This window comes from Homo sapiens, chromosome 1, assembly GCF_000001405.40.
Source record: "Homo sapiens chromosome 1, GRCh38.p14 Primary Assembly".
Classification (NCBI taxonomy): Eukaryota; Metazoa; Chordata; class Mammalia; order Primates; family Hominidae; genus Homo; species Homo sapiens.
The window spans coordinates 27,136,437-27,160,468 of NC_000001.11; the positions used below are offsets into that span (position 1 = coordinate 27,136,437).

General features: G+C 50.4%; 1 protein-coding gene and 1 long non-coding RNA gene across 5 annotated transcripts in view, besides 5 other annotated features; one reads left to right on the forward strand and one right to left on the reverse strand.

Moving 5' to 3' along the window:
• SLC9A1 (solute carrier family 9 member A1) overlaps positions 1–18,689 on the reverse strand; it is a 56,317-nt gene extending 37,628 nt beyond the window's left edge. For 3 of the 4 annotated variants that reach the window (NR_046474.2, NM_003047.5, XM_011542021.4), the window contains exon 1: positions 17,547–18,689. Coding sequence is in view for 1 of the 4 variants with exons in the window: in NM_003047.5 (NP_003038.2) it covers positions 17,547–17,898 (352 nt within the window). In the remaining 3 variants the exon portion in view is untranslated. Of the gene's footprint in view, positions 1–1,959; positions 2,262–5,389; positions 6,610–17,546 lie in introns of those variants that run through there. The other variant, XM_047428769.1, reaches the window with a different exon arrangement.
• Positions 1,074–1,885: an enhancer, noted in NCBI's record as "H3K27ac-H3K4me1 hESC enhancer chr1:27464001-27464812 (GRCh37/hg19 assembly coordinates)". NCBI's record gives its function as "activates a minimal SCP1, AML or CMV promoter by ChIP-STARR-seq in naive H9 embryonic stem cells {active_cell/tissue: H9 hESC(naive)}" and the evidence as "EXISTENCE:reporter gene assay evidence [ECO:0000049][PMID:30033119]".
• Positions 6,257–6,316: a silencer, noted in NCBI's record as "silent region_501". NCBI's record gives its function as "represses an Ori minimal core promoter by ATAC-STARR-seq in GM12878 lymphoblastoid cells {active_cell/tissue: GM12878}" and the evidence as "EXISTENCE:reporter gene assay evidence [ECO:0000049][PMID:35858748]".
• Positions 15,928–15,977: an enhancer, noted in NCBI's record as "active region_539". NCBI's record gives its function as "activates an Ori minimal core promoter by ATAC-STARR-seq in GM12878 lymphoblastoid cells {active_cell/tissue: GM12878}" and the evidence as "EXISTENCE:reporter gene assay evidence [ECO:0000049][PMID:35858748]".
• Positions 18,409–18,638: a silencer, noted in NCBI's record as "silent region_502". NCBI's record gives its function as "represses an Ori minimal core promoter by ATAC-STARR-seq in GM12878 lymphoblastoid cells {active_cell/tissue: GM12878}" and the evidence as "EXISTENCE:reporter gene assay evidence [ECO:0000049][PMID:35858748]".
• Positions 19,584–20,083: an enhancer, noted in NCBI's record as "H3K27ac hESC enhancer chr1:27482511-27483010 (GRCh37/hg19 assembly coordinates)". NCBI's record gives its function as "activates a minimal SCP1, AML or CMV promoter by ChIP-STARR-seq in naive H9 embryonic stem cells {active_cell/tissue: H9 hESC(naive)}" and the evidence as "EXISTENCE:reporter gene assay evidence [ECO:0000049][PMID:30033119]".
• On the forward strand, positions 21,125–24,032 carry LOC102723760 (uncharacterized). The gene is made up of 3 exons (XR_426674.4): positions 21,125–21,190; positions 21,983–22,088; positions 23,853–24,032. It is a non-coding gene; the product is annotated as an uncharacterized LOC102723760 (long non-coding RNA).

Consider the following 24,032-nt stretch of genomic DNA (forward strand, 5'->3'; position numbering starts at 1 on the left):
CACACTGCCTCACACTTTCCCCAGCTCTTGTTGACCCAGAAAAGTCAGACCCTGCCAGTCACCCTAACCCCTCTCCTCAACCGAGGATAAGACCAGGAGTTTTGAGGGACTCAGCTCCCCCAGAAGCACCTGCATCTTCCTGCTCTAAATTCCCAGCCCTGCCCAGGCTTCCCTCCCTCCCCTCTGAAGGGAGCCACCACCTGCTGCTTGGCACGGATACCCCTCTCCGGCTACATCCTCTCCACTCTCCCCTCAACTCCTACACAATCCCCGTCCCAAACAATTTCCTGCAGTTTCCCATCTGATCAGTTTCTTAGGAAGGATAATTATCCATGGAAGGAGGAGGCGGAAAATTCCCAGAGCCAAGAACACTGGGGGAAAAGCTTCATCTAGTCCCTTCTCCATCAGCCAGGAGAGCCCTCATCCTAAACACAGGCCAGTCATGGTCATGGCTCCTCCAGAACCTCTGCAGTTCCCCCATCTTCAGGAAAGAGCCCACACTTCTCTGCATTGAATCCAAGGCCCTCTTGATCTGTTCTAACTTAGGTTTGGGCCTCGTTGCCATTCCATTGTAAGTGGTAGTGCCAGATGGAGCCCCATCTGCCCCCAGGGCCCACCTGCAACGTGCTGTGTCCCTGCGGCACTTCAGCCTGCCTTGTGTTTTAGTTGTTTACATGTCTGTCTCCCACACACAAGTGTCAGTGCCAGCGCTTCCAGGGTGGGAACCACCAACCACGCAACTGTGTCTGCTGCATGGTAGGTGCTCAGAGGCAGGCTGAAAAGAAAGTGGGACAGGCAGGAGGCCGCCTCACCTCTGCGGAGGGAACGATGTGGGAAGAAGGACCACTTATAGCATCACAGGAGAGCCTGGACTAGAGGTCGGGGAGCTGAGCTCAATGCAGCTCTGTGGCCCTTAAGCAAGTCACTTCCGCCCTGGCCTCTGCTTCCTCTGTGAGCTGAGGGGGATGGGCCGGGCTCTGTCATCATGTCAGACATTTAGAAGCCCTTACTGCTAGGTGCTCGCCTCAGCATTCTCATTTAACCTCCACACCTTTGCACATGGGGACCACAAAGTTGCAAGTGGGGGAGGGGGGTTTCAGTCCTGGTCTTTTGATTCCCTAACCCCTTATCTTCTCCTCCTGGACTTCTGCAGTCTCTAGGATCCCTCCCAGTGCTAAAGTCTGGTTCTGATTCTAGGTCTGCCCTTTCCTGACCTGACAACTCCCCAGGCCACGACCATAGGGTTCAGCAGGGAACACGCATGTCCAACCCTGGTGTTCAGCAATGCCACGCCTCCCACATGACAGGTCTGGTGACTGTTTGCCTGCAGGCGCTGAGGCTCAGCAAGGGAGGGGTGGCCAGCAGGAGTCCAGCAGAGCCTGGTGCCCACTCAGCCCCTCCCTCCCCAATGTGCCCCTGACTCCACGCCCACTCTGCTCCAGCGTCCTGCTCGCCCCTCCCTGCTAGCAGCTCTCCTAGGCTGGAGCTTCCATCCCACTGCTGGCTTGGCCAGTGGTGCCTGTCGGGAAGCTTTACTCTGTTGCCCTCATAGACCCAGCTTGAGCTGCTGGCAGGCAGGACACTGAGTGGGGCCAGCCCAGGGCCTGAGCCGACTCTATCGCACTCCCAGGCTGTCCGCACATCCCTCCCCAGGTCAGACCATGTCATGCTACTCAAGAGCCTTTGATGGTGCCACACAGCACCATGAATCCTAGCCCCAGGCCCACGGGCCTGGCATGATCTGGCCCCTGCCCTCTTCTCCATTCTCACACCATGCTTCCCCTCTTCCCCCGCACTTCAGGTTCCTCAAGCACACCCCCCTCAGGGGCCCTGGTCTTTGGAAGATGAGCTCTTCTTGTCCTTTGGGTCTCAGCTCAGACACCAGCTCCTTAGAGAACCCTTGCTGGCCATCCAGCAGCCCCACCTCTCCCTCATGTCTGCCTTCTTCAGGACACTTACCACTACCTGACACTGCTTTGTCCACATCCAATGCTCCATGCTGGCATGGGAGCCCCCTGACATCAGGAGCCTCTTCTGTCTTGTTCCTGGCTGTGTCCTCAGATCCAGAATAGTGTCTGACATGGGGGTAGAGGCAGCTGGTGGGGCGTGTGCTGCCCGTTAGACTGGACAGTCAGGGAGGCCTCTCTGAAGAGATGACGTTTGATCTAGGGCCTGAAGGAGAGCACCGGCGCGAGGCAGTCTATGGGCAGTGCTCCAGGCTGGGGATCGAGCAAATGCCACAGCTGTATGGAGGAACAGGCCTGGCAAGGCAGATGTGCGTTAGGGACACAGGAAGGCCGGTGCGACTGGAACAGGGAAAGGGTAGTGGGGCATGAAGTGGAGAAAGGGGTGGGCCACACTTTCCTTGCATTTTCTCCCAAGTTCATCAGGAAGCATTTGAAAGGTTTTCAGCAGGGGAAACACCATGCTCTGGTTTACAGGTCTCAAAGCTCCCTGCGGCTGCTCTGGGGAGAGCTGCCTGCAGGCAGACAGCAGTGGAGCCGCAAGACCATTCAGGAGGCCCGGGAATCACCCGGGTTGGAGAAGATGGAGTGAAGAGGCAAGCCTTTGACAGGTGTGGTTGTGTTTGCCACCAGTCTGAGGAGCCCTGGCCAAGTCTACACCCCTCTGGAGTTCCAGATGCTTCATCCAGCCCCGCCCACCTACTGTCTTATTTCTCACTGACTCCTCACCCAGACTTTTCCTGCAGCTGGCTGGGCTCCCCAACAGGTGCCTGCCCATACCTAGTACTCAGAGCCTGCAAAGAGCCTTAACCGGTGTCACGGCCATTGCCTGATTGGTCACCTTCCCTCCCTCTTAGAAGGGTCTGGTGAAGGTGTCTGCACAAAGATCTCTGCTCCATGTTCATTCCAGCCACATTTCTCCCCTTCCTAAAGGTCTCCTGTTCTTTGAGGCAACAGCACAGCAATCCTCGAGCACTTAATTATTCCCTGTTTCACTTTCCTAAAGTAGCTGTAAGCTAAATAAAGCTAGATACCATGACTCGCACCCTTCGGGGCCGTCACATAGTGCAGAAGGCAATGATGCACTATGCGAAGCCCTGAGCACAAAGCCAGGCACTGGCAGGGTCTCAGTAAGTGGTAGGTAGCTCTGTCCTCACTGCCTATACCAGGGCGACAGCCATCACAGGTGCTCAGTGCCCCACAGGTGCAGTTAGCTTCTCTGCCCAGCAAAACAGGTGAGTGAGGCGTGTTTGGGGGTGAGGTGGAAGGGTTGGAAACATCCCAATGAGTTTTAGAAGCAAAGGTCAATGGTTCTGCATGATCTGTGGCTCTGTGTCATTCACATCTCTGTGCCCTTCTCCAGTTCTCCCCTCTATGTGAGCTAAGCACACTCATTGTTTTTTTTTTTTTTTGAAACAGAGTTTCGCTGTCGCCCAGGCTAGAGTGCAGTGAGGCGATCTCGGCTCACAGCAACCTCCACCTCCTGGGTTCAAGCCATTCTCCTGTCTCAACCTCCCAAGTAGCTGGGATTAGAGACTTGCACCATCACACCTGGCTAATTTTTGTATTTTTAGTAGAGATGAGCTTTCACCATGTTGACCAGGCTGGTCTGGAACTCCTGACCTCAAGTGATCCGCCCATCTCAGCCTCCCAAAGTGCCGGGATTACAGGTGTGAGCCACCGCACCTGGCCAAAACACTCATTCTTAACCTTCAGGACCCAGCTCAAAGCTCTGGGAAGCCTTTCCTGACCCACCCACCTCCACTCCTCCCTCCCGCACACCCACAGCTCTGCAGGCTCCTGCTGCAGCACTTCACAGCACATCACAAGTGCCTGTTTACATGCCAGCCTCTCCCTTGAGGCTGGGATTATATTTATCCATCTTTCCATCTTCAGTACAGTATTTATCAGCACGAATCCATTTGCTGAACATGTGTCTCCCCACCTCCCAACTAAAGAACGAGCTCAGACAATTCAGCTAATGGTCTCATTTGCACCCCTAACCTCAGTACTCAGCTCACCCCAATGCCCTCCAGTCCATATACCTAAAACCATCCTCCAGTGCTTGACCCCACCCTCACCTCTTCCTTTAAGGCTCCAGGAATAGTAGCAACTCCCATTAGTGAGCACTTACAATGTGCTCAGGGCTTTACAGACATCACCCCCCTTTAGACTGGGGAAACTGAGGCTCAGACAGGGTGATGTAGCTTAAAAAGGGCACACCTTTTCCCCTTAATACTGGCATCACTCACCTAGCACTTATCATAGCTGGGACTATTTTTAAAACCATCATCTGTTCTGCAAAATTGAGTGCTTTTATAGCTACACATCAAGTTGTCATACAAAATCACCCTTTGCTCATTAAATGTTTCAGACGATCAGTCTTGCTACTCCAGCTAGGTGGGGTAACATAACATAAATGTTATGTAGGAGAAATGGCACAGGACTTGGAAGGGGAAGTCCTGGAGTCCAGCTTCAGCTCTGCCACAGTCAGGCTATATGACACCAGGCGGGTCACCTCCACAGCCCAGGCACGGCAGCTCACGCCTGTAATCCCAGCAATTTGGGAGGACAAGCTGGGGGGATCACTTGAGGTCAGGGGTTCAAAACCAGCCTGGCCAACATGACAAAACCCCATCTCTACTAAAAATACAAAAATTAGCCAGGCGTGGTGGCACAAGCCTGTAATCCCAGCTACTCGGGAGGCAGGAGAATCGCTTGAAGCAGGGAGGCAGAGGTTGCAGTGAGCCAAGATTGTGCCACTGTACTCCAGTTTGGGTGACAGAGAGAATCTCCATCTCAAAATAAAAAATTAAAAAAAATTTTTTTAAAACAGGATAAGTGACTTGCCCAAGGTCACGGTGCTACAAAGTAGTAGAGCTGAGATTTGAACCCAGGTCTGTCAAGCTGCAAAGCTTGTTTTTCTAACCACCATGCCTGTGGGCATGTTTCCAAAGGGAACTGCTCTGGGACATTCTTCTGCAATCCAGAGGTTCTGCCCCAAGTAGAAGCTTCTGGCTGTGCCCAGTGAGATTTCATTCAAGTATCTCATCTAAATCCTACATATACTTCAAGGCCTAGCTCAGTGGTCACTTGCACAGCCTACTGGGATCTTCCCAGGTACGAAATTCTCTCTCCCACCTCTAAACTCCCGTAGAATTCCATCTGCACTTCAAATCACACCCCCTTTCTACTGTCTGACTGTTTTGCATCTGTACCGCATTTCTCAAACAAGTCGTTGAGCTTGGTAAAAGAAGCAGTTCTCATGCATCTCTGCACCTTCCACCAGCCAGGCAGGCAGTGCTCAGTCAGGGAAGCGGGTGGGGTAGGGTGCCTGCTCCCCTCCCCCATCTTGCTGTAACCTGAGTCTTAGGCTTTGCCCAGTTAGGTGAGTTGGCCCCGCCTCATGCTGGCATAACGCCTACCTGGTACAGCATCCAGATTCCTGTGGGTCCTGGCCACCGGGGAGATAAGATCTTATTCCCTGGCTTGATGGCAAAGATGCTATAAAAAGCACAGCACCCAAGTTCAACATTGGCTTGTGATGGACTACACGACCTGAGGGATTCAATGGGTGAAGGCAGAAGCCTCTGGGCTGTCTCAGAGGTCCCAAGACCTGTACTTGGCTCCCCTGTAAGGACCAGTGTAAGGACCAATGGTTTCTCTGCCAAGGACAGCTCCCTAATAGATACCCCAGGAGGAAGCTGCCCTTCTTTAGGCTTAAAGGGCCCACTGGAAGAACTGAGGTTTGCCAATGCTACCAATATCCAAGCCAAAAACCACAGCCCCTCCTCTCGGTCCACTGTCCAGGTCTTACTGCCTAGGGACTCCTGAGTTAGTTAACAGAGCAGGGAAGAAGACTGACTCTGCCATTAATTCACGAGTGGCCTGGGGCCAATCCTCTCTGGGCCTCAACTGGAAAAACAGAGAACTTGATCAAAACATCTCCATTTCCCTTTGGGCCTGGGGGTTACAAGCTATGATAAGGATTTTTCCATCTCTAACATTCTAGAATTAGAATATTCTATACTTTCATTCCTAGAAGCAGAGTGAGAACAGAGAACAGGGACCTTCAGTCCAGGAAACAGCAGAGGCCAGTCAGGGCTTCCTAGCTGCATCCTCAAAGCCTGTCCACCTTCAGAGGCTTTCTCTTGCGTCTGCTGCCTCAAAGGTGGTTGCTTCCCCACTAGCAGAGCCTCAGAGGTGTGCCTGGGCCCTAGCCGCTTTAGGGAAATGGGCAGGTGGCCTGAGTCACCTACTGTGTGTGAGCTGGGCTCACCATGGCAACCCAGCAGACCCAGAGGGCATAAAGAAGCCAGTACCTTCCCTGCTGCACAGTGTAGGCGGAGCATGTTGCATCTGCTTTGATTTCCAACTTAGAAAAGTTTTTCTCTACTTTAAGGACTCATTTCCCCTTCCCTTCTCTCAGGACACAGCTTACTCACTCTGGGGTCCTTCTCCTTGCCTGGAAGGTATTCTGCAGTCCCACAGGCAAACCCCACTCATCCCAGAATTAAGTACCACCTCCTCCAAGGATTCATCCCAGACCAGTTAGTCCTCTACCCTTCTTCAAGTTCCCACCACACAAAAGGCAGAAGCTCTTAACCTTCAGAATCTGTGGCTTACACACTGACAATCAACTGTGTAAAAAAAAAAAAAAAAAAAAAAAATCTGAGTCTATCATGGGCCTTCTCCCTTGATAAAATCACATATATACAACTGTCTGCAGACTATTTTGGGAGCTCCACAAACTTTATCATGGACTCAGAAACAATCTTAGAAACCTAGATCCTAGAACAACAGATCATCCAGTCCATCCTCTCACCTACACCAGAATCCCTTAGCAACCCCTCCTGAATGATGTTCCTCTTCTACCCCTGGCCCACCTCTCAAGGCCGCCTCCTTCAAGAAGCTTCCCTCATCTCTCCTCTCCTCTGATTCCCCCAAGCATCCAGCCTGAACCACACAATTTCCCACCTGTGCTTTCTCCCTTGTATGTTGTCTCACTTCCCCAGCAAGAAAGCTGACTCCCTGTGGGCTCATTTCTTCAACCTTGTAACCCTCAGCTGGACTTAGAGATGACCGTGATCTGTACTTGTACAAAGCCCTGTGCTTTGAAGCCAGGGCTCAATGACAGCACTGGCCCACTCCCAAAGGATAGAGCTGTGGAATTCCCCATCTGAGGGCCTCACAGTCTGCTTAGGCCTCAACGGAACAGAGGCTTCCCTGGAATGACCGCCTTTCCCACAGGACAGCCCCAGAGAGCCCTTCAAGATGAAATCGACAGATAGGGAAACTAAGGCCCAGGAAGGCAAACATAGCTTAGCAAAGGTCAATATGCAGGAAAGAGGCGAGCTAGGACTAAGACCCAGGTCCCCAGTTACCAGCCTAGAGCTCGTTTCCTTTATGCAATGGCTTTATGAAAACTAAATTTGCCTTGCATGCACACACACTCACATACTCAATATATACATGGAGAATTTCTAAAAAAGATGGACAAGACAGTTAACAGTGGTAACCTCTGGAATGTATGACAGTGGGGGTGGTCAGAGAAGTAATGAGGGGGACTTTTCCCTTTCACCTCAATACCCTCTGTACTGTTGGGTTTTATTTTTGTTGTTTTGTTTTTACCATTGACATGTTTTATTTATTCATATTATAAAAATAAATCTGCCATAGAAAGGAGATTCTGGCCCAGCCCACCCATTCCCAACACACATTAAAGCAAAGAGAAGCCATAAGTAAATCTGTCCAGGTACAACTATAAATTAACAAGATTGCCTTCTTGTATGGTTTAAAGCCACTGGTCTCATTAATTCACAGTCACAGTGCAGTTTACGGCTTGAGGAATCTTCCCAGGAAAAGCTTAATTCAATTAGGGCTCTCGGCAGCTCCCCAAGGAAGCTCTGGTATCTTACTTTTACTTACACAAATTGAGGGCAGACCAAACAGATCCAGATCTTCCCAGAGAGACCCCACCCGGCCCAGAGAAGATGCCCTTGCAGACCCTCCATTAGAGCCAAGCCGAGGGAGGTGGCCAAGGCAGCACCACTTAAACACTGGCTGGCGCCTAAGGCATCATTCTGTGAGTGTCGCTCCCAGCGAGCTCAGTTAAACTCCTTGGCTTGGCAGTCTGGTGCCAAGGAGCCTCTGCAACCTTTGCTCTCCCTCCTCTCTGAGCAGTCAAACTGGTTTCTTGTCTGCCCCAGGGCTTTGCAGGGATCCTATCTTTACACTGAAGTCAATCACATATTCATTCATGTATTCCTTCCCCAAATATTTATGGAGCCTTTACTCTGTGCCAGGCACAGATAAGAAAGTGAACAGGCCAGGCGTGGTGGCTCACGCCTTTAATCTCCGCACTTTGGGAGGCCAAGGTGGGTGGATCACCTGAGGTCAGGAGTTCTAGACCAGACTGGCCAGCATAGCAAAACCCCGTCTCTACTAAAAACACAAAAAATTAGCTGGGCGTGGTGATGTAAGCCTGTAATCCCAGCTACTCTGGAGGCTGAGGCAGGAGAATTGCTTGAACCTGCAGCTACTCTGGAGGCTGAGGCAGAATTGCTTGAACCTGGGAGGCAGAAGTTGCAGTGAGCTGAGATCTCGCCACTGCACTCTGGCACTCCAACCCAGGCGAAGAGCAAGACTCCATCTCAAAAAAAAAGGAAAAAGGAAAAAAAAAAAAAAAAAGAAAGTGAACAAACAAAGTCCCTGTCCTCAAGAGGCTTACATTCTTATGGAAATTGGTACTAAGTATAGCCTGCTTATCTAATTCCTTTCCATCCTTCAAGACTCAGACTAATGTTCCACCTCCTTTGAGAGGCTTTCTCTAAACACCCCAGTCCTCAGGGACTGCTTGCTCCCTCTGTACTTTGCCTCTGCCAGGAGTCCGCCCAGCCCTGGCAGGCTGGAAGCTCCTAAAGAGCAGGGCCTGGGTTTACTCTTCTTTTGTTCCTTGATGGCCATATGCTAAATGCCTGCTAGCTGATTTCAGCTGACCTGCCTCTTCCACCCAGGATCTTAGCGAGCTGCTCTTGGTCCTGGCTGGCTGATGCAAAGACACAGCCTCTTCCAGCTTCACTTGGCATACAGCAAATGCTATGCAAGTGTTAGCTATTTATTGGTTTAGTGAACTTGTGGGCTCTAACACACAGCTGTGATATCACTCCTCCGCCTTCTGTGGCCTGGTCTCAAACAGGCTCAGCACTGTGGCAAGGCCAGTCTGGGCTTAGGGGTAAGTGCTTCCCAAGGGACAGGGAAGGGGGCCTGGGAAGGAACAGAGCTTTTCATCCTGAATCTCAGTTAGAACTGCTTAAGGACATATCTTTTCAGGAAAGAATTTGCTGGGGTAATTTGGGGGGAACTCTGGATTCTTGGCAAGTAGTATAAAAACTCAGGGCTCAGGTCTGGCCTAATAGACCCCAAAATCGGCTCTGTATATTAGATGAGCTTTAGGGGGAAGAAAATGAAGTCAGCATGATCCCAGGGAAGGCGGGCAGCCCACTGATCCAGGCCCAACCCAAAACTTAGTTCAGTTAAAATTAGATTAGCCCATAAGATTAAAATACCAACATATAATCACGGGCTGCTTTAAAGTATCAGTTGATGTTTATCGGCATCTAAAGAGACAGTTTGGCCCAGTGCAGTGTGTGCAGACAACCTTGGGGAGACATGCCTGACTCAGACATTTGCAGGGGGAGCGAGTGCTGCAAAATGAGGCCCACACAGGCGATGGATGACTCAGGAATAACCCAGGTCCTGGGTGTGCTGAGCGAGCCTTCTCTCCCTGCCTCAGGAGGAAAGGGGGCAGGTGGGAGAGGCGGTGAGGAGGAAAGGAGGCTGTGTATGGGCTGGCATTCCCAGAGACAGCCTCAGGCCCCCAGCTCTAGTTCCCCGTCACTCCTGTATTTTTCTGCATGCTGCCACCTCTGAGAAAGGTTATTTGCTTCACAGTGGGACTTGGAGTGGGTCAGCTTTTTCCCCAAACCCAAGAAGTGATCCACAGAAAGCAGCCAAGGCTCAAAATACTAAAGTCTTTAAATCTCCCCCAATTCAAAATGATTATGGGAAAAATTGAATTTCTAAACTGAAAAGGCCCTTGGAATCAGGGCATGAGGATGAAAAGAACACAGGCTCTGAAGTCAGACAAATCTGGGCTTAAACCCCAATGTTTTCTAGCTGTGCAAGTACCTTTCACAACCTCTAAACTAGATATGAATAAGTGGCAGCTTAGCTGGATGTGGTGACCTGTACCTGTGGTCCCAGCTACTCAGGAGGCTGAGGTGGGGGGATTGCCTGGAGCCAGGGAGGTTGAAGCTGCAGTGAGCCGTCTTTGCGCCACTGCACTCCAGCCTGGGAGACAGAGCGAAATCCTGTCTCAAAAATAAACAAAATAAAAAATTAATAAGTGGCAGCTAATTAACAAGTATTTAACAAATATATCACCAATTACCGGACGGGTGCAGTGGCTCATGTCTGTAATCCCAGCACTTTGGGGGGCCGGGACGGGCAGATCGCCTGAGGTCAGGAGTTCAAGACCAGCCTGGCCAACATGGCGAAAACCCATCTCTACTAAAAATACAAAAATTAGGCCGGGCGCGGTGGCTCATGCCTGTAATATCAGGACTTTGGGAGGCTGAGGCGGGCAGATCACCTGAGGTCAGGAGTTCGAGACCAGCCTGGCCAATATGGTGAAACCCTGTCTCTACTAAAAACAAACAAACAAACAAACAAACAAAAAAACCAAAAAATTAGCCAGGCATGATGGTTGGTGCCTGTAATCCCAGCTACTCAGGAGGCTGAGGCAGAAGAATCACTTGAACCCGGGAGGCGGAGGTTGCAGTGAGCTGAGATCATGCCTCTGCACTCCAGCCTGTGCAAAAGAGCGAGACTCTGTCTCAAAAAAAAAAAAAAAAAAAAAAGAAAAGAAAAAAATACAAAAATTAGCTGGGGGTGGTGGCGCATGCCTGTAGTCCCAGCTACTTGGGAGGTTGAAGTAGGAGAATCACTTGAACCTGGAGGCGGAGGTTGCTGTGAGCCGAGATCGCCTCACTGCACTCCAGCCTGGGCGACAGAGTGAGACTCCATCTCAAAAAAATAAATAAAAATAAAATAATAGGGAGTCAGGTGTGATGGCTCATCCCTATAATCCCAGCTACTCAGGAGACTGAGGCGGGAGGATCATTTGAGGCCAGGGATTCAAAACCAGCCTGGACAACAAAATTGGAAGATCCCCATCCCCCATCTCTAAAAAAACAAAACAAAACAAAATGAAAAATTAAGTATCTATATTATCAATTAGAAAACGGGCTCAGGCCAGGAGCAGTGGCTTACGCCTGTAATCCAGCACTTTGGGAGGCCAAGGTGGGAGGATCAGCTAAGGTCAGGAGTTCAAGACAAGCCTGACCAACACGGCAAAACCCCATCCCTACTAAAAATACAAAATTAGCCAGGTGTGGTGGCACATGCCTGTAATCCCCACTACTCAGGAGGCTGAGGCAGGAGAATTGCTTGAACCCAAGAGGCAGAGGTTGCAGTGAGCTGAGATTGCACTATTGCACTCCAGCCTGGGCAAAAAGAGCGAAACTCTTGTATCAAAAAAAAAAAGAAAAAAGAAAACAGGGGCTCAGAGAGGTTATGCCTTGCCTAAAGTCACACAGCTGGGCAACAGAGAGCTGAGACTAGATCTCAGGTATCTTAACCTTTCACCCCATCCTACATGTTTTCCATTGTAATCATTTCTCTGCCTCTCCTTTTCTCTCCCAGAGGGCATGCAACATTCTGGGGGAAAGGACAAGTCCTCCATTTCAAAGATTTGCTGCTCCACAGATAAGGGCTATGAGAATGTCAGTCCCCAGTGCAACTCTGGCCCTCATCCTCCTTCATGCAAATACAGGTATGTTCAAGTTGTAGAAAAGAACTTGGAGCTGAGCCAAAGCTGTCAAGGCTCCAGACCACCCAGACCCTTTAGCCCTTCCTGCCTACAGGAGGAACAGGTGTCCCTCCTGACAACAATCCAGGTTACCAATGTGGATGTGTCTGGTCATTGACTCTCCTCAAAGCCCCTTTAAATCTCTCATCCCCCTTGATCCAACAAGAACCCAGCATGTTGGCCTGGCAGGAGAGAGTTTGGCCTTGAGTGATTAGTCCCAGGCATGCTAAGTGACCTCAGGCAGGTCACAACCGAAGGCTCAATTTCCTTAGATGTAAAATGATGAACACATCAATACCACATGCTATTCTAACCCACAGGACCACTGAGAAGATCTAAATTAAATATTGTACACACAAGTGCTTTGGAAACAAATTTCAGTGCTAATGAGAAGTACTATTAAACTCCTCCTGCCTTGTAGAGCTAAACAAAGTTGTGCCACCTGCTCCCAACAGAGGCTGCCTCTCAGGGGACTCTGCTGGGCCCTGAGGGTAACCAAAAGCAGCCTGTCACCTTTCTGCTCAGAGGCGGGAGGTCATAAGGTCAGCCACCCCTTGTGGCTAAAGGAGACCACCCTTTACCTGGCACTTCCCTGCCCAAGCAGGGAAGAAGCAAGCTCTGGTCTGATGGCTGAGAGGGCACCGGAAGAGAGATAGCAGGCAGGGTTGCTAGCAGAGAACAAGGGATAGGCCTCCTGAATGCAGGATTCAGGTGCATCCAAGAAGACTCACAAAAACAAAGGACAGGTGCACAGCTGGACACAGAACACCTACAGCTTTCTCAAGGCAGGGACAGGGCTCCCACCAACGACATGTGCCCAACTCCTAGAGGGAGTCCTACAATTCCTGAGTGCAGGTGCAGTGAGCTGGGCGCTTCTCAGTGCAGGGCCATGTGCATCTGCTGCGGGAATGCCAGAGGCAGGAGATGCAGCTGCACCCCTCTAGCAGGCTATGCCAAGACTCGAACAGACAATAAATAGCAATTTGACATCACTGAAGATAACCTCTCTGAGCCATTTCCTCATCTGCAAAACAGAGACAGCTTTTATCTCATGTGATTTGAGTAGGGATTAAATAAGATTGCTTTTATAAAGTGCCTGACACTACTCTGTAGATACTAAGTGGCAACTATTATTAAAACACACACACCCGTTCAACACAGGAGATGTCACAGGGCAGGCAAGGCCTAATGCCACTGTTATGGATAAACAATAAGGGAAAAGGGTTTGGGAGAGAAAGAGAAAGTGACTGCTGTGGGCTGGGAAGACCTCCCAAAAGGGGAAGAATCTGCACGGCCCTGAAAGTTACTACAGTGAGCTGGGCACTCTACCAGGCATTCCCACGTTCAGCCTCTACGTTGGTCTTAAGGATGAGGCAAGTCAGGTTCAGAGAATGAGGTGCATGAACCTCAAGGTTCATGGTCACACAGGTACTGAGAGGCAGCATCAGGAGCAGAACCCAGGGCTTCTGACTACGTCTTTCCTTTGTACCAGGGCTGGACGCCATGGGGCTGGCTTGGAAGGAGAGGAAAGGCAAACTTCGAGGGTGCTCAGCTGAATGAAGTCTGGGCAATCTGACCAACTAAGCCCTCTAAGTGCCTTGGCACTCCTAGAGACACATGTCCTACCTGAAGCCTTCCTCCCAGTCCCCAGCTGACCTCCCTCCCACTGTTCTGCAGTCAGTCTGCTATTTTCCCAAAGAGAAAAAGGTCATCGCTTCCTTTTTAGAGTCCTATCTGGGCTTCTTGAGACAGTTTCAAGGTGACCTTTAGGCTATTTGTTCTTCTCTTCTTTTGAGAAGTGAGAGAGGCACCTTCTAGTGTCATTTTTATAGGAAACCAGTTGCTGGGTCTGATATCCATGCATGTGAAGTGGGCAGTGACCCCATCTCCCCTATTCACAGACTTAATCTACAGAGGAGATGGCAGGATTCGCCTTGCAAAGACCAAAACCAAAAAAAGCTATAAGATATAAAGGGACAAAAGAAGCCTTTTGTGTCCCTGGTCAGGAGACAAGATGAATACCTGCTTTATGGGCTCCCGGGCCTCTGCCAGGCATTCTGGGTCAGGAACATGGGTAAACAATTGCAGGAGATGCCAGTGGTGAGCTGAGTTACAGTGAGGCTCTCCTCTGGAATAAGTACTAGCCTGGGAGTCAGGTGAACATGGAACAAAGCAGAGTTCATGCGGGGTCCACAGCACAATGTGGGGTGGGGAATGCACCTAACTCCTAAGGCTTGGAGTCATTCCCACAGTTTTCCCAATAGCCTAAATCCTCTTCACACCACTGGCCCCTCCCCACCAAGGACAAGCAAGAATTCCTGACTGCTGGGGAGAGAAAAAAGGTCCAGAGAGGGAAGGTGACTTACCTAATGTCACCCACTGAGTCAGAGGTAGACTAGAACCCAGAAGCAACTATTCTAGAACTTCAGCTCCCACCCTGCTCCTCCCACCCCAGTCTCTGCAAGAGTCTACCCGAGGCTCTGCTCCATGGTTAGGGTAGGAAGGAGAACTGCAAAGCACTTTCTATTCTTATAGGAGGGGTAACCTGCAAGGGAAGCAGCTGCCATAGATGACAGAATGAGGGCTCCAACGGAACTCCTACCCACGCAGGGGTGTTGAGAGAATAGGCAAGACCCCAAAATCAGCTCCCAGGCTCTTGGGTATCTGAGAGTGCAGAGGGAGCATGGCCTCAGCCCCCCACCCTTATCCCTACAAGGCAGCTGGTGTCATCTTCCCTCCCGCCATGACCAGCTCAAGTGAACAGTATAGGACACATGGAAACCCTGATACCCTAAGGAAGGACATTGGTGGCAGCCTAGGTTTGAGAGATTTGTAATCCTTCAGCTCAGAGGAAGGTTGTAGGAGGCTGAGGTAGGGATGCATTTGCTGTAGGTGGTTAAAATATTAACAGGGGCAGCTGTCACTCATTGAACACTTCCTGTGTATACAAACTTTTATGTGCATTTATTTATGTAATAATCACATTAATAGCACTATAACTGGATACTATTAGTTCCCATTTTATTTTTTTTTATTTATTTATTTAGAGACGGAATTTCACTCTTGTTGCCCAGGCTGGAGTGCAATGGCGCAATCTTGGCTCACTGCAACCTCCGCCTCCTGGGTTCAAGCGATCCTCCTGCCTTGGCCTCCAGAGTAGCTGGGATTACAGGCAGCCGCCACCATGCCCAGCTAATTTTTTGTATTTTTAGTAGAGACGGGGTTTCACCATGTTGGCCAGGCTGGTATCAAAACTCCTGACTTCAGGCGATCCACCCTGCCTCAGCCTCCCAAAGTGCTGGGATTACAGGCGTGAGCCACTGCGCCCAGCTTAGTTCCCCTTTTATACATGAGGAAACTGAGGCTCAGAGATGCTGCTAAGTGGCAGAGTGGTGGCTGAATTCCACACTGCAAAGGTGAAGCTGGGAAAAATGGGCTTTCATTTTTGAGGCCTGAACAGGGACTCTTCAGATCTTTAGACCACCTTTCTCTCCACTCATGGCCAGATGCTAGAACTCCTGTTTTCAGAGGCAGAAAAATGCCTTTCCAAGGCAGAAACAGACTTTTGGAAAGGAGACCACATCCAGCCTCATCATTTTACAATGGGAAAACTGAGGTCCAAGGCTGAGTGACTTGCCAGAGTTTCCAGAGTCAGTGGAATGACAGAAATATCACACCTGGAAGGGACCACAAAGATCAACTGATGGGTAGGGAGGCGTGACTGGTCCAAGGACAGAGGGAGGTAGGAAGAGAAGCCAGGTTTTCCTGACTTCTAGACTGATATTGTTGCCATGACACCATCTCTGCTCTCCAGCTGCCCAGGGTCCCGGGCACAGCACTTGGGTGGTGACAAAGCAGGCCAGGCCAAGCTGACCTCATTAGCACTAGAGATACCAGGCCTGCAGGGACAAACTTCTGACTGCCTAGAGTGGGGTCTCTGCAGTCATGCTGTCATCCCACCAGCAGCCACTGACACTCAAAGTGTGTCTGCCAGCCCTGAATGCCCTAATGTAATGCCAGGTGTGGTGGGCAGGTGAGGGGATCGGGGACAGGAGGCAATTTATAGATTGCACTTGTGAGGTCTCCTCCTGGTCTCACACAGTCAAATGACATCACTGTCACTTCAGCTTCTTACAGCAAATCAGACGACATTTCATGACTCAATTGGTGTGGTCAAATTGAGAGTCTTAACCATTTCACAGGTGAGGGAGACCTGCAGAAAAAGGCCTCAGCTATTCAAGGTCATGCATTTATGTCAGAATCAGTACACATGGTTCCCCTTGTCCAGTCCTTGATTTCTCTCCAGGAAGCTAACTGCCATCAAGGTATAGGTGCTGATGGCTTAGTTCCATGTAAGGCTCTGCTACTGTGACCAGCTTGGCACAAGAGCCCTGCACCAGGAACCCAGCTCCTGGATCTGTCAAATTAGAGGCACCACTTCCCTCCCGCTGCATGTCCCAGAGCCTGCCTCACACCAGCCCGGCAGCACCGCTCAGCTCCTGCATGTCCTTGGGAGAGCTGGAAGGTTTCCTGCCAAATTCCCAAACCCAAATCTCAGGCAGAGGGGACAGCAGAGTCCCAGGACCTCATGCCTTCCACAGCCAGCTGGGGGCAAGCTGAAAATGCAAAGGCAGTTGTCAAAGTCCCCCTGAACACCACTTTCAGGGACTTCTGGGCAATGTAGGCTCCAGTAAGCTCCCCCAATCACTCAGCAGAACAGAGTGCTCAGGCCTAGCAGGGAGACCAATACTCTGAGAGCAAATAAGTTGTCTGTTTCCTTCTCCCCAAAAGAAGGTTTCAAAGTCTCTTCAGGCCTGAACATCCCTAGGCTCCCCCATCTACCTCATCTACTTGATTGAGCAGCAGGCCAGACAGCACCCTGAGACACAGCCAGGCAGCGACCTGGGGGTGAGCTGGGGTCAGACCAAGCCTCAACCTCCTCTACTCTCCCTCCACTTCCAAAACAGACTTCAGAAATTTCCAGGGCCCCTTGTCCCACAGATTCTATAAAGTATGGCATTCCTGGGCCGGAAATTGACTCAGGGGCTCCTAACTAGCCTGGACAAGCAAAGCTGACAGATAACATTCTGGAGATGAAGGAAAGGTGGGAATATGGGGATCCCCTGTGTTCCACCACACTTGTAAGTTTCCTGTGCCCAGGTCTCCACTATGCTTAAACTCCTCAAGCAGGCCAAGTAGAAATATACTCCATCCTGGAACACGCTCCAGTGAAGCCTGTCATAAATTGCACTGGTTGCTGTTGACAGAGCAGAATGTGCCACTCGCCAGAAGACACTCCTTTCTGTCTCACACACAGCGGGGTGCCTGGCTCCCCTGGGGGTCTGGCCCAGCCAGAGGAGACTTGCCAGTCGTGGAAGCCTTACTGAAGGGACCTAGGATCAGAGGCATCCCATTCTCTAATCCTGCTCTCTTCTGTGCACAGTGCTGGCTCCAATCTTGGGAAGCCTCAGATCACAGATCAGAAGCCACAGAACTGGAGCCTGAGAAGGACCAAGGTGGCAGGATGGAGACTGCCTACTTTATGGGGGTAGTTCAGATCCTTACTCCTGGACAGCCTCAAATGGTGCGAGATGAGGCAAGAAGCTCACCAGTCTGGTGGCGGCCGCAGCATCGGAGCAAACGGGACTTACCTATCTTCATGAGGCAGGCCAGAAGGATCCAGAGGGAGATCTCGAAGGGGGTGCGCACGTGTGTGTAGTCGATGCCCAGGACTGGAAAGGCCTTGCGCGGCTTCATGCCATGATCAGTGACGGAATGATTAACAGGGCGGCTCTCTGGGGTGACCTCCGGTGGAGCGGTGGTGACATCCCCAATCGAGCGTTCTCGTGGTGGCTCTGAGCTTCGAATGGTGCTGGCAGTTGGGCTGAGCTGGAGGCCATGGCTCCTGAGAACAGGCAGCAGCCCCACCAAAGCAACCACCACGAGTAAGGAAGGGAAGATCCGATGTGGAGAGAGGCCACAGATGCCAGACCGCAGAACCATGGTGCTGCTTCCAGAGCCAGCCTCGACCTTACCCAAATGAGAGTAAAACCGGGCACATAGGTAGCAAAGGGTCAGCAAGTGGGAAGAGAGACTGGCGTAGTCTCTAGGAAAAGTTCATGTTTTAGAGAGGCATTTCCATGGAAGCAATTTTCTGGGGGTGGAGGGAGGCTGGGTTTGCAATCTGGAACTCCAAAGTGGGGAAAGGGGGCAAGGACCCAGGAACGACCACGAAAGGAGACCAAAAGGTCTGGAACTCCGGGCCTGGGAAGGGGGAGGACGGATGTGGGAAACTGAGCCCTAGGGATAGAGGAAGGGGCAGGATAGGGATAGTGCAAAGGAAAGGAAGAAGGAAGGCTGGGACCTTTGGCTGAGGAAAGTGACTGAGGAGCTGGGACTCTGGGCTGTGGGCTAAAGGAAGGGGTAGGGAGCCTGAGCTAAAGGAAGGGGACCGAAGGGGGTGAGAGCCAGTCCAGGAAAAGGAGAGAGGGGGCTGGGAGCCCAGGCTGAGAAGGAGTGAAACCGGGAAGCGGCCGGGAGCTTCTCCACCCAGAGAGGGGCAGGGGTCCAGGCGCGCCGGGCTGAGATTCCGGGGAAATGGAAAGAGGCGGAAGGCAGGCGGCCTGGCGGGAAGGCGCCTCGGCGCGGGCTGGGGGCGGCTCGCGGTGGGCCAGCAGCAACACGCCCCTCCTCGCGGCCCTGGCGCGACGCGGCGCTCCGCCCCGGCCCAGCTGCAGCTCCTCCTGGTCCAGCTCCAGAACTAACCCTAGCCCCGGCCCCGGCGGCAGCAGACTGAAGCCTAGCTGAGCCCGGCGCTGTCACTTATAGGCACCAGCGAGCAGCCGGTGCGGCGGGCTAGAGAGACCGTCGGCACCCGCCCAGCGCAGCGGCCCCTGTCGCCGAGGGAAAGAAGTATCGCGTAGGAAGAGGAAGGAGAGTCAGAGATGACAAAAAAAAAAAAAAAAAAAAGTCCTGAATATACAGAGAACCTCACTAACGCGAGTAAAATGCCGACTACTTACAAAACGATTTCACGTCCACATCTGCAGTCTCATAAGGGCTTTCGAATAATCCTGTGAAGAATGTATTATTAGTTTATGTATTTAGTTACCGTGTGACCTTGAGCAAGTTACTTAACCTGTTTCACAACTTTCTCATCTGTTAAGTAGAGACAGTAATAGTGACTATGTCAGAGGGATGATGTAATGACTGAGACAATCCGTGTAAACTATTTGGAATGCACCCTGGCACATTATTACAATTCCACTTTTACAGATGAGGAAACAGGTGAAGAGAGTCCCCTGGCTACTATGCAAGTAGTTGTATTGCTTACTAGGGCTGCCGTAACAAAGTATCACCCCAAACTGGGTGGCTGCAACAACAGAAATTGATTGTCTCACAGTTCTGGAGGCTGGAGGTCGGATCTAGGTGTTGGCAGGGTTGGTTTCAGCTGAGAGCTATGAGGGAGAATCTGTCCCATGCCTTTCTCCTACCTTCCAGTGGTTTGTTAGGACTATCTGGTATTCCATGGAGTTCTCCTGGTGTCTCTGTCTCTGCGTCCAGATTCCCCGCCCACACTTTATTTTTATTTTTATTTTTTTTGAGATAGAGTCTGGCTCTTGTTGCCCAGGCTGGAGTGCGGTGGCGCCATCTCAGCTCAATGCAACCTCTGCCTCCTGGATTCAAGCGATTCTCCTGCCTCAGCCTCCAGAGTAGCTGGGATTACTGGCACCCACCACCACGTCCAGCTAATTTTTGTATTTTTAGTAGAGATGGGGTTTCACCATGTTGGTCAGGCTGGTCTCGAACTCCTGACCTCAGGTGATCCACCCGCCTCGGCCTCCCAAAGTGCTGGGATTACAGGGGTAAGCCACAACCCCCAGCCAGATTTCCCCTTTTTATAAGGACACCAGTCATTGGATTAGAAATCCAACGTAATTACCTCATCTTAACCTGAACATCTTCAAAGACTGCATCCTAATTAGTCCATCTTCATAGGCACTGGGCATTAGGACTTCAACTTCTTTTGCCGGGACACAATTCAACCCACAACAGTGGCATGCTTTAAGTAGTGGAACTTAAATTTGAACCTATAGTTTGGTTGAAATTGGTGAGGTTCAAGGGATCATGGCTGTACAATGGAATCACTGGAAAGCTTTTTTAAAATACCATTGTCTAGGCCGGGCGTAGTGGCTGACGCCTGTAATCCCAGCACTTTGGGAGGCCGAGGCGGGCGGATCACGAGGTCAGGAGATCGAGACCACGGTGAAACCCGGTCTCTACTAAAAATACAAAAAATTAGCCGGGCGCAGTGGCGGGCGCCTGTAGTCCCAGCTACTCGGGAGGCTGAGGCAGGAGAATGGCGTGAACCCGGAAGGCGGAGCTTGCAGTGAGCGGAGATCGCGCCACAGCACTCCCGCCTGGGCGACAGAACGAGACTCCGTCTCAAAAAAAAAAAAAAAAAAAAAAAATTAGCCGGGCGTGGTGGCACATGCCTGTAATCCCAGCTAGTCAGGAGGCTGAGGCAAGAGAATCACTTGAACCCAGGAGGCGGAGGTTGCAGTAAGTCAAGATTGCACCACTGTACTCCAGCCTGGGCAACAGAGCGAGACTCTGTCTCAAAAAAAAATAAATAAATAAAAATAAATACCATTGTCTGATAAAATTAGCTGTGCTTGGTAGTCCTAGCTGCTTGGGAGGCTGAGGCAGGAGTATCATTTGAACCTAGGAGTTTGAGACTACAGTGAACTATGATCCACCACAGCACTCTAGCCTGGGCAACAAAGGGAGACCCTGTCAATCATAGTAATCATCATCATCATCATCTTTTGTAAAATATCATTTTCGGGGACCCACCGTCAGAGATTTAGATTCAATTACTTCAGGGTAGTGCCAAAGTATTTTTTTCAAAGGCTCTGATATACAACTAGGGTTGGGAGGTATAGAAATCACTGAAATGCTGTCCCTGTTTTGCAGAAGAGTACATTAAGGCCAAAACAGTCAAAGTGTCTAGCTCAAGGTCACATCACAAGTACTTGAGATTCAATTTAGTTTAACAAATGTTTACTGGGCCTCTTGACAGGGCTTTGTGCTGGGCTCTGGCAACACAGAGATAAGCCAGAGGGAGGAAGGAGGTGGTAGGAATTGGGAGGGGGCATAAAGTGGACATAATGAGGGCTTCTAGAATGCTGGTAATGTTCTATTTCTTTACTGGGTGATAGCTACAAAGGTTACAGCGACGTAGTTGTTTCGTGATAACTCACTGAAGACTCAAGATGTGTGCACCTTTTTCTAGGTATGCTATCCTTCCATGGAAAAATATATTAAAATAATAATAAGCTAGCAGCAGTGGCTCATGCCTGTAATCCCCGCAACTCAGGAGCCTGAGATGGGAGTATCAGTTGAGGCCAGGAGTTTAAGACCAACCTAGGCAACATAGGGAGACCCTGTCTTTAAAAAAAATAAGTAAAATAAAATAATAATATCCAGGTGCAGTGGCATGCACCTGTAGTCCCAGCTACTTGGGAGGCTGAGGCAGAAGAATCACTTGAACCCAGGAATTTGAGGCTGTAATGCACTATGATTGTGCTTGTGAAATAGCCACTGCACTCCAGCCTGGGAAACATAGTGAGACCCATCTCTAAAAATTAATTAGGCCAGGCACAGTGGTTCACGCCTGTAATTCCAGCACTGTGGGAGGCTGAGGCAGGCAGATCACTTGAGGTCAGGAGTTCAAGACCAGCCTGGCTAACATGGCAAAACCCTGTCTCTACCAAAAAATACAAAAATTAGCTGGGCGTGGTGGAGCATACCTATAGTCCCAGCTACTTGGGAGGCTGAGGTGGGAGAATCCCCTGAACCCAGGAGACGGAGGTTGCAGTGAGCTGAGATTGTGCCACTGCACTCCACCCTGGGTGACAGAGGGAGACTCTGTCTCAAAATAAATAAATGAATATAAAAATAAAATAATTAATAAAGTGATATGATAGTAACTGAAGGTGGCAACATTAAACTGAGTTCTCTCTCTCTCTCTCTTTTTTTATAATCCCATGCCTAAACTGAGTTCTCTGTACCTCACATTCTCCAGGCACAAATTCCAGCCACCTGGGAAATGACAAAAGAGACTTCAGAGAAGGGCAGGGGACTTGTGTCATCTGGGAGCAGATGAAAGGAGAACATCAGCTATAATGAAAGTAACCAAAGAGCATTTCGAGCAAGGATCAGAATAATAACAATAATGCCTCACAATTGTTCAGCCCTTTAGAGTTCACAACCAAGTGCCCCAGGTTTATCAATGATCCAAATGCTAGGCTGGGTGCGGTGGCTCATGCCTGTAACCCCAGCACTTTGGGAGGTCGAGGCAGGTGGATCACCTGAGGTCAAGAGTTTGTGACCAGCCTGGCCAACACAGCGAAACCCCGTATCTACTAAAAATGCAAAAATTAGCTGGGTGTGGTGGCATGTGCCTGTAGTCCCAGCTACTTGGGAGGCTGAGGCACGAGAATCACTTGAACCCAGGAGGCAGAGCTTGCAGTGAGCTGAGATCACACCACTGCACTCCAGCCTGGGTGACAGAGTGAGACCCTGTCTCAGAAAAAACAGTACCTATTATTCTATTTTTTTCTTTTGAGACAGAGTTTCACTCTTGTCACCCAGGCTGGAGTGCAGTGGCGATCTTGGCTCACTTGCAATCTCCACCTCTCAGGTTCAAGTGATTCTCCTGCCTCAGCCTCCCGAGTACCTGGGATTACAAGCGGCTGCTACCACACCCAGCTAATTTTTATATTTTTGGTAGAGATGGGGTTTCACCACGTTGACCAGGCTGGTCAGGAACTCCTGACTTCAGGTAATCCACCTGCCTTGGCCTCCCAAAGTGCTAGGATTACAGGCGTGAGTCACCGCATCTGGCCAAAGAGTAGCTATTATTCTCATTCCCATTTTACAGGTGAAAAGACAAAGGCCCAGAGACATAAAGCTATTTGCCCAAGGTCACACATCTATTAAGATGCAGATCCATGCCTGGCACAGTGGCTTACACCTGTAATCCCAGCACTTTAGGAGGCCGAGCCGGGCAGATCATTTGAAGTCAGAGGTTCAAGACCAGCCTGGGCAACATGGTGAAACCCCATCTCTACTGAAAATACAAAAATTAGCTGGGCGTGGTGGCAGGCACCTGTAATCCCAGCTACTCAGGAGGTTGAGGCAGGAGAATCACTTGAACCTGGGAGGCAGAGGTTGCAGTGAGCCAATAAAATTAAATTAAAATTTAAAAAAAGAAGCAGATCCAAGACTTAAGTCAGGTTTCTAACACCTAAGTCCAGCACCCTTTTAAAACATCACAGGTTCAGTGTAAAAAGAAGAAAAGAGGGAAAGGATGGGGCTGGTGGAGTGACTTTCCACAGGTGCCCTGGGGCCAGAAGCCCAAGACCTACTGTTCTTTCCAGTCTTGAAGGCAACGTTCACTGGTGTGCTCCCCACTCTCTAATTCTCCCTCACTCAGGCCTCAGTGAGTCTTTGGGTGCCAGTCTGGGACGTGGTAGATCCCAGGACAACCAGGAAATGCCAGCCCTGAGATCCTCCACGGCCTGGAGAAGGTTATAACAACAGAACAATATCAGGAAACAGGCCTTGGGAGAAACCACATGGGAGAGCCGATGGCCAAGGCCCAGCCTGGGCAGGCAGTGTAGAATAATGGATAGTTAAATGCTGGGACTGCCGAACATGGGTAGCCACATGGTCTCCTTTCAGTGCTCTGGCACCACCGCTCACTAGTCATGAGACCCTGGGCAAATCAGTGCCTGTTCTACAGCTTCTTCCTCCATAAGGGGGGACAACAATAGTGTCAACCTCATGGGGCTCTCATGAAGATATTAGCCAATGTATGCGAAGCATTTACCACTGCCCCCAGCAAGTACCACATATATTTACCATCATTCTATTTATTTACATGCACCGAGGACCTCAAGAGTAGACTTTTGATGTTGGGAACCACATGAAGTTCTGCCTTCAGTCACAGAGAAAATTGACAGGCTGGAAAACAGACCCTCACATCCGTGAGATGGGTCCCACCATCAGACCAGCTGCTATGAATTTAATATTTGTAAATAAATCACATTGATGTGTATTGTATGTTAAAA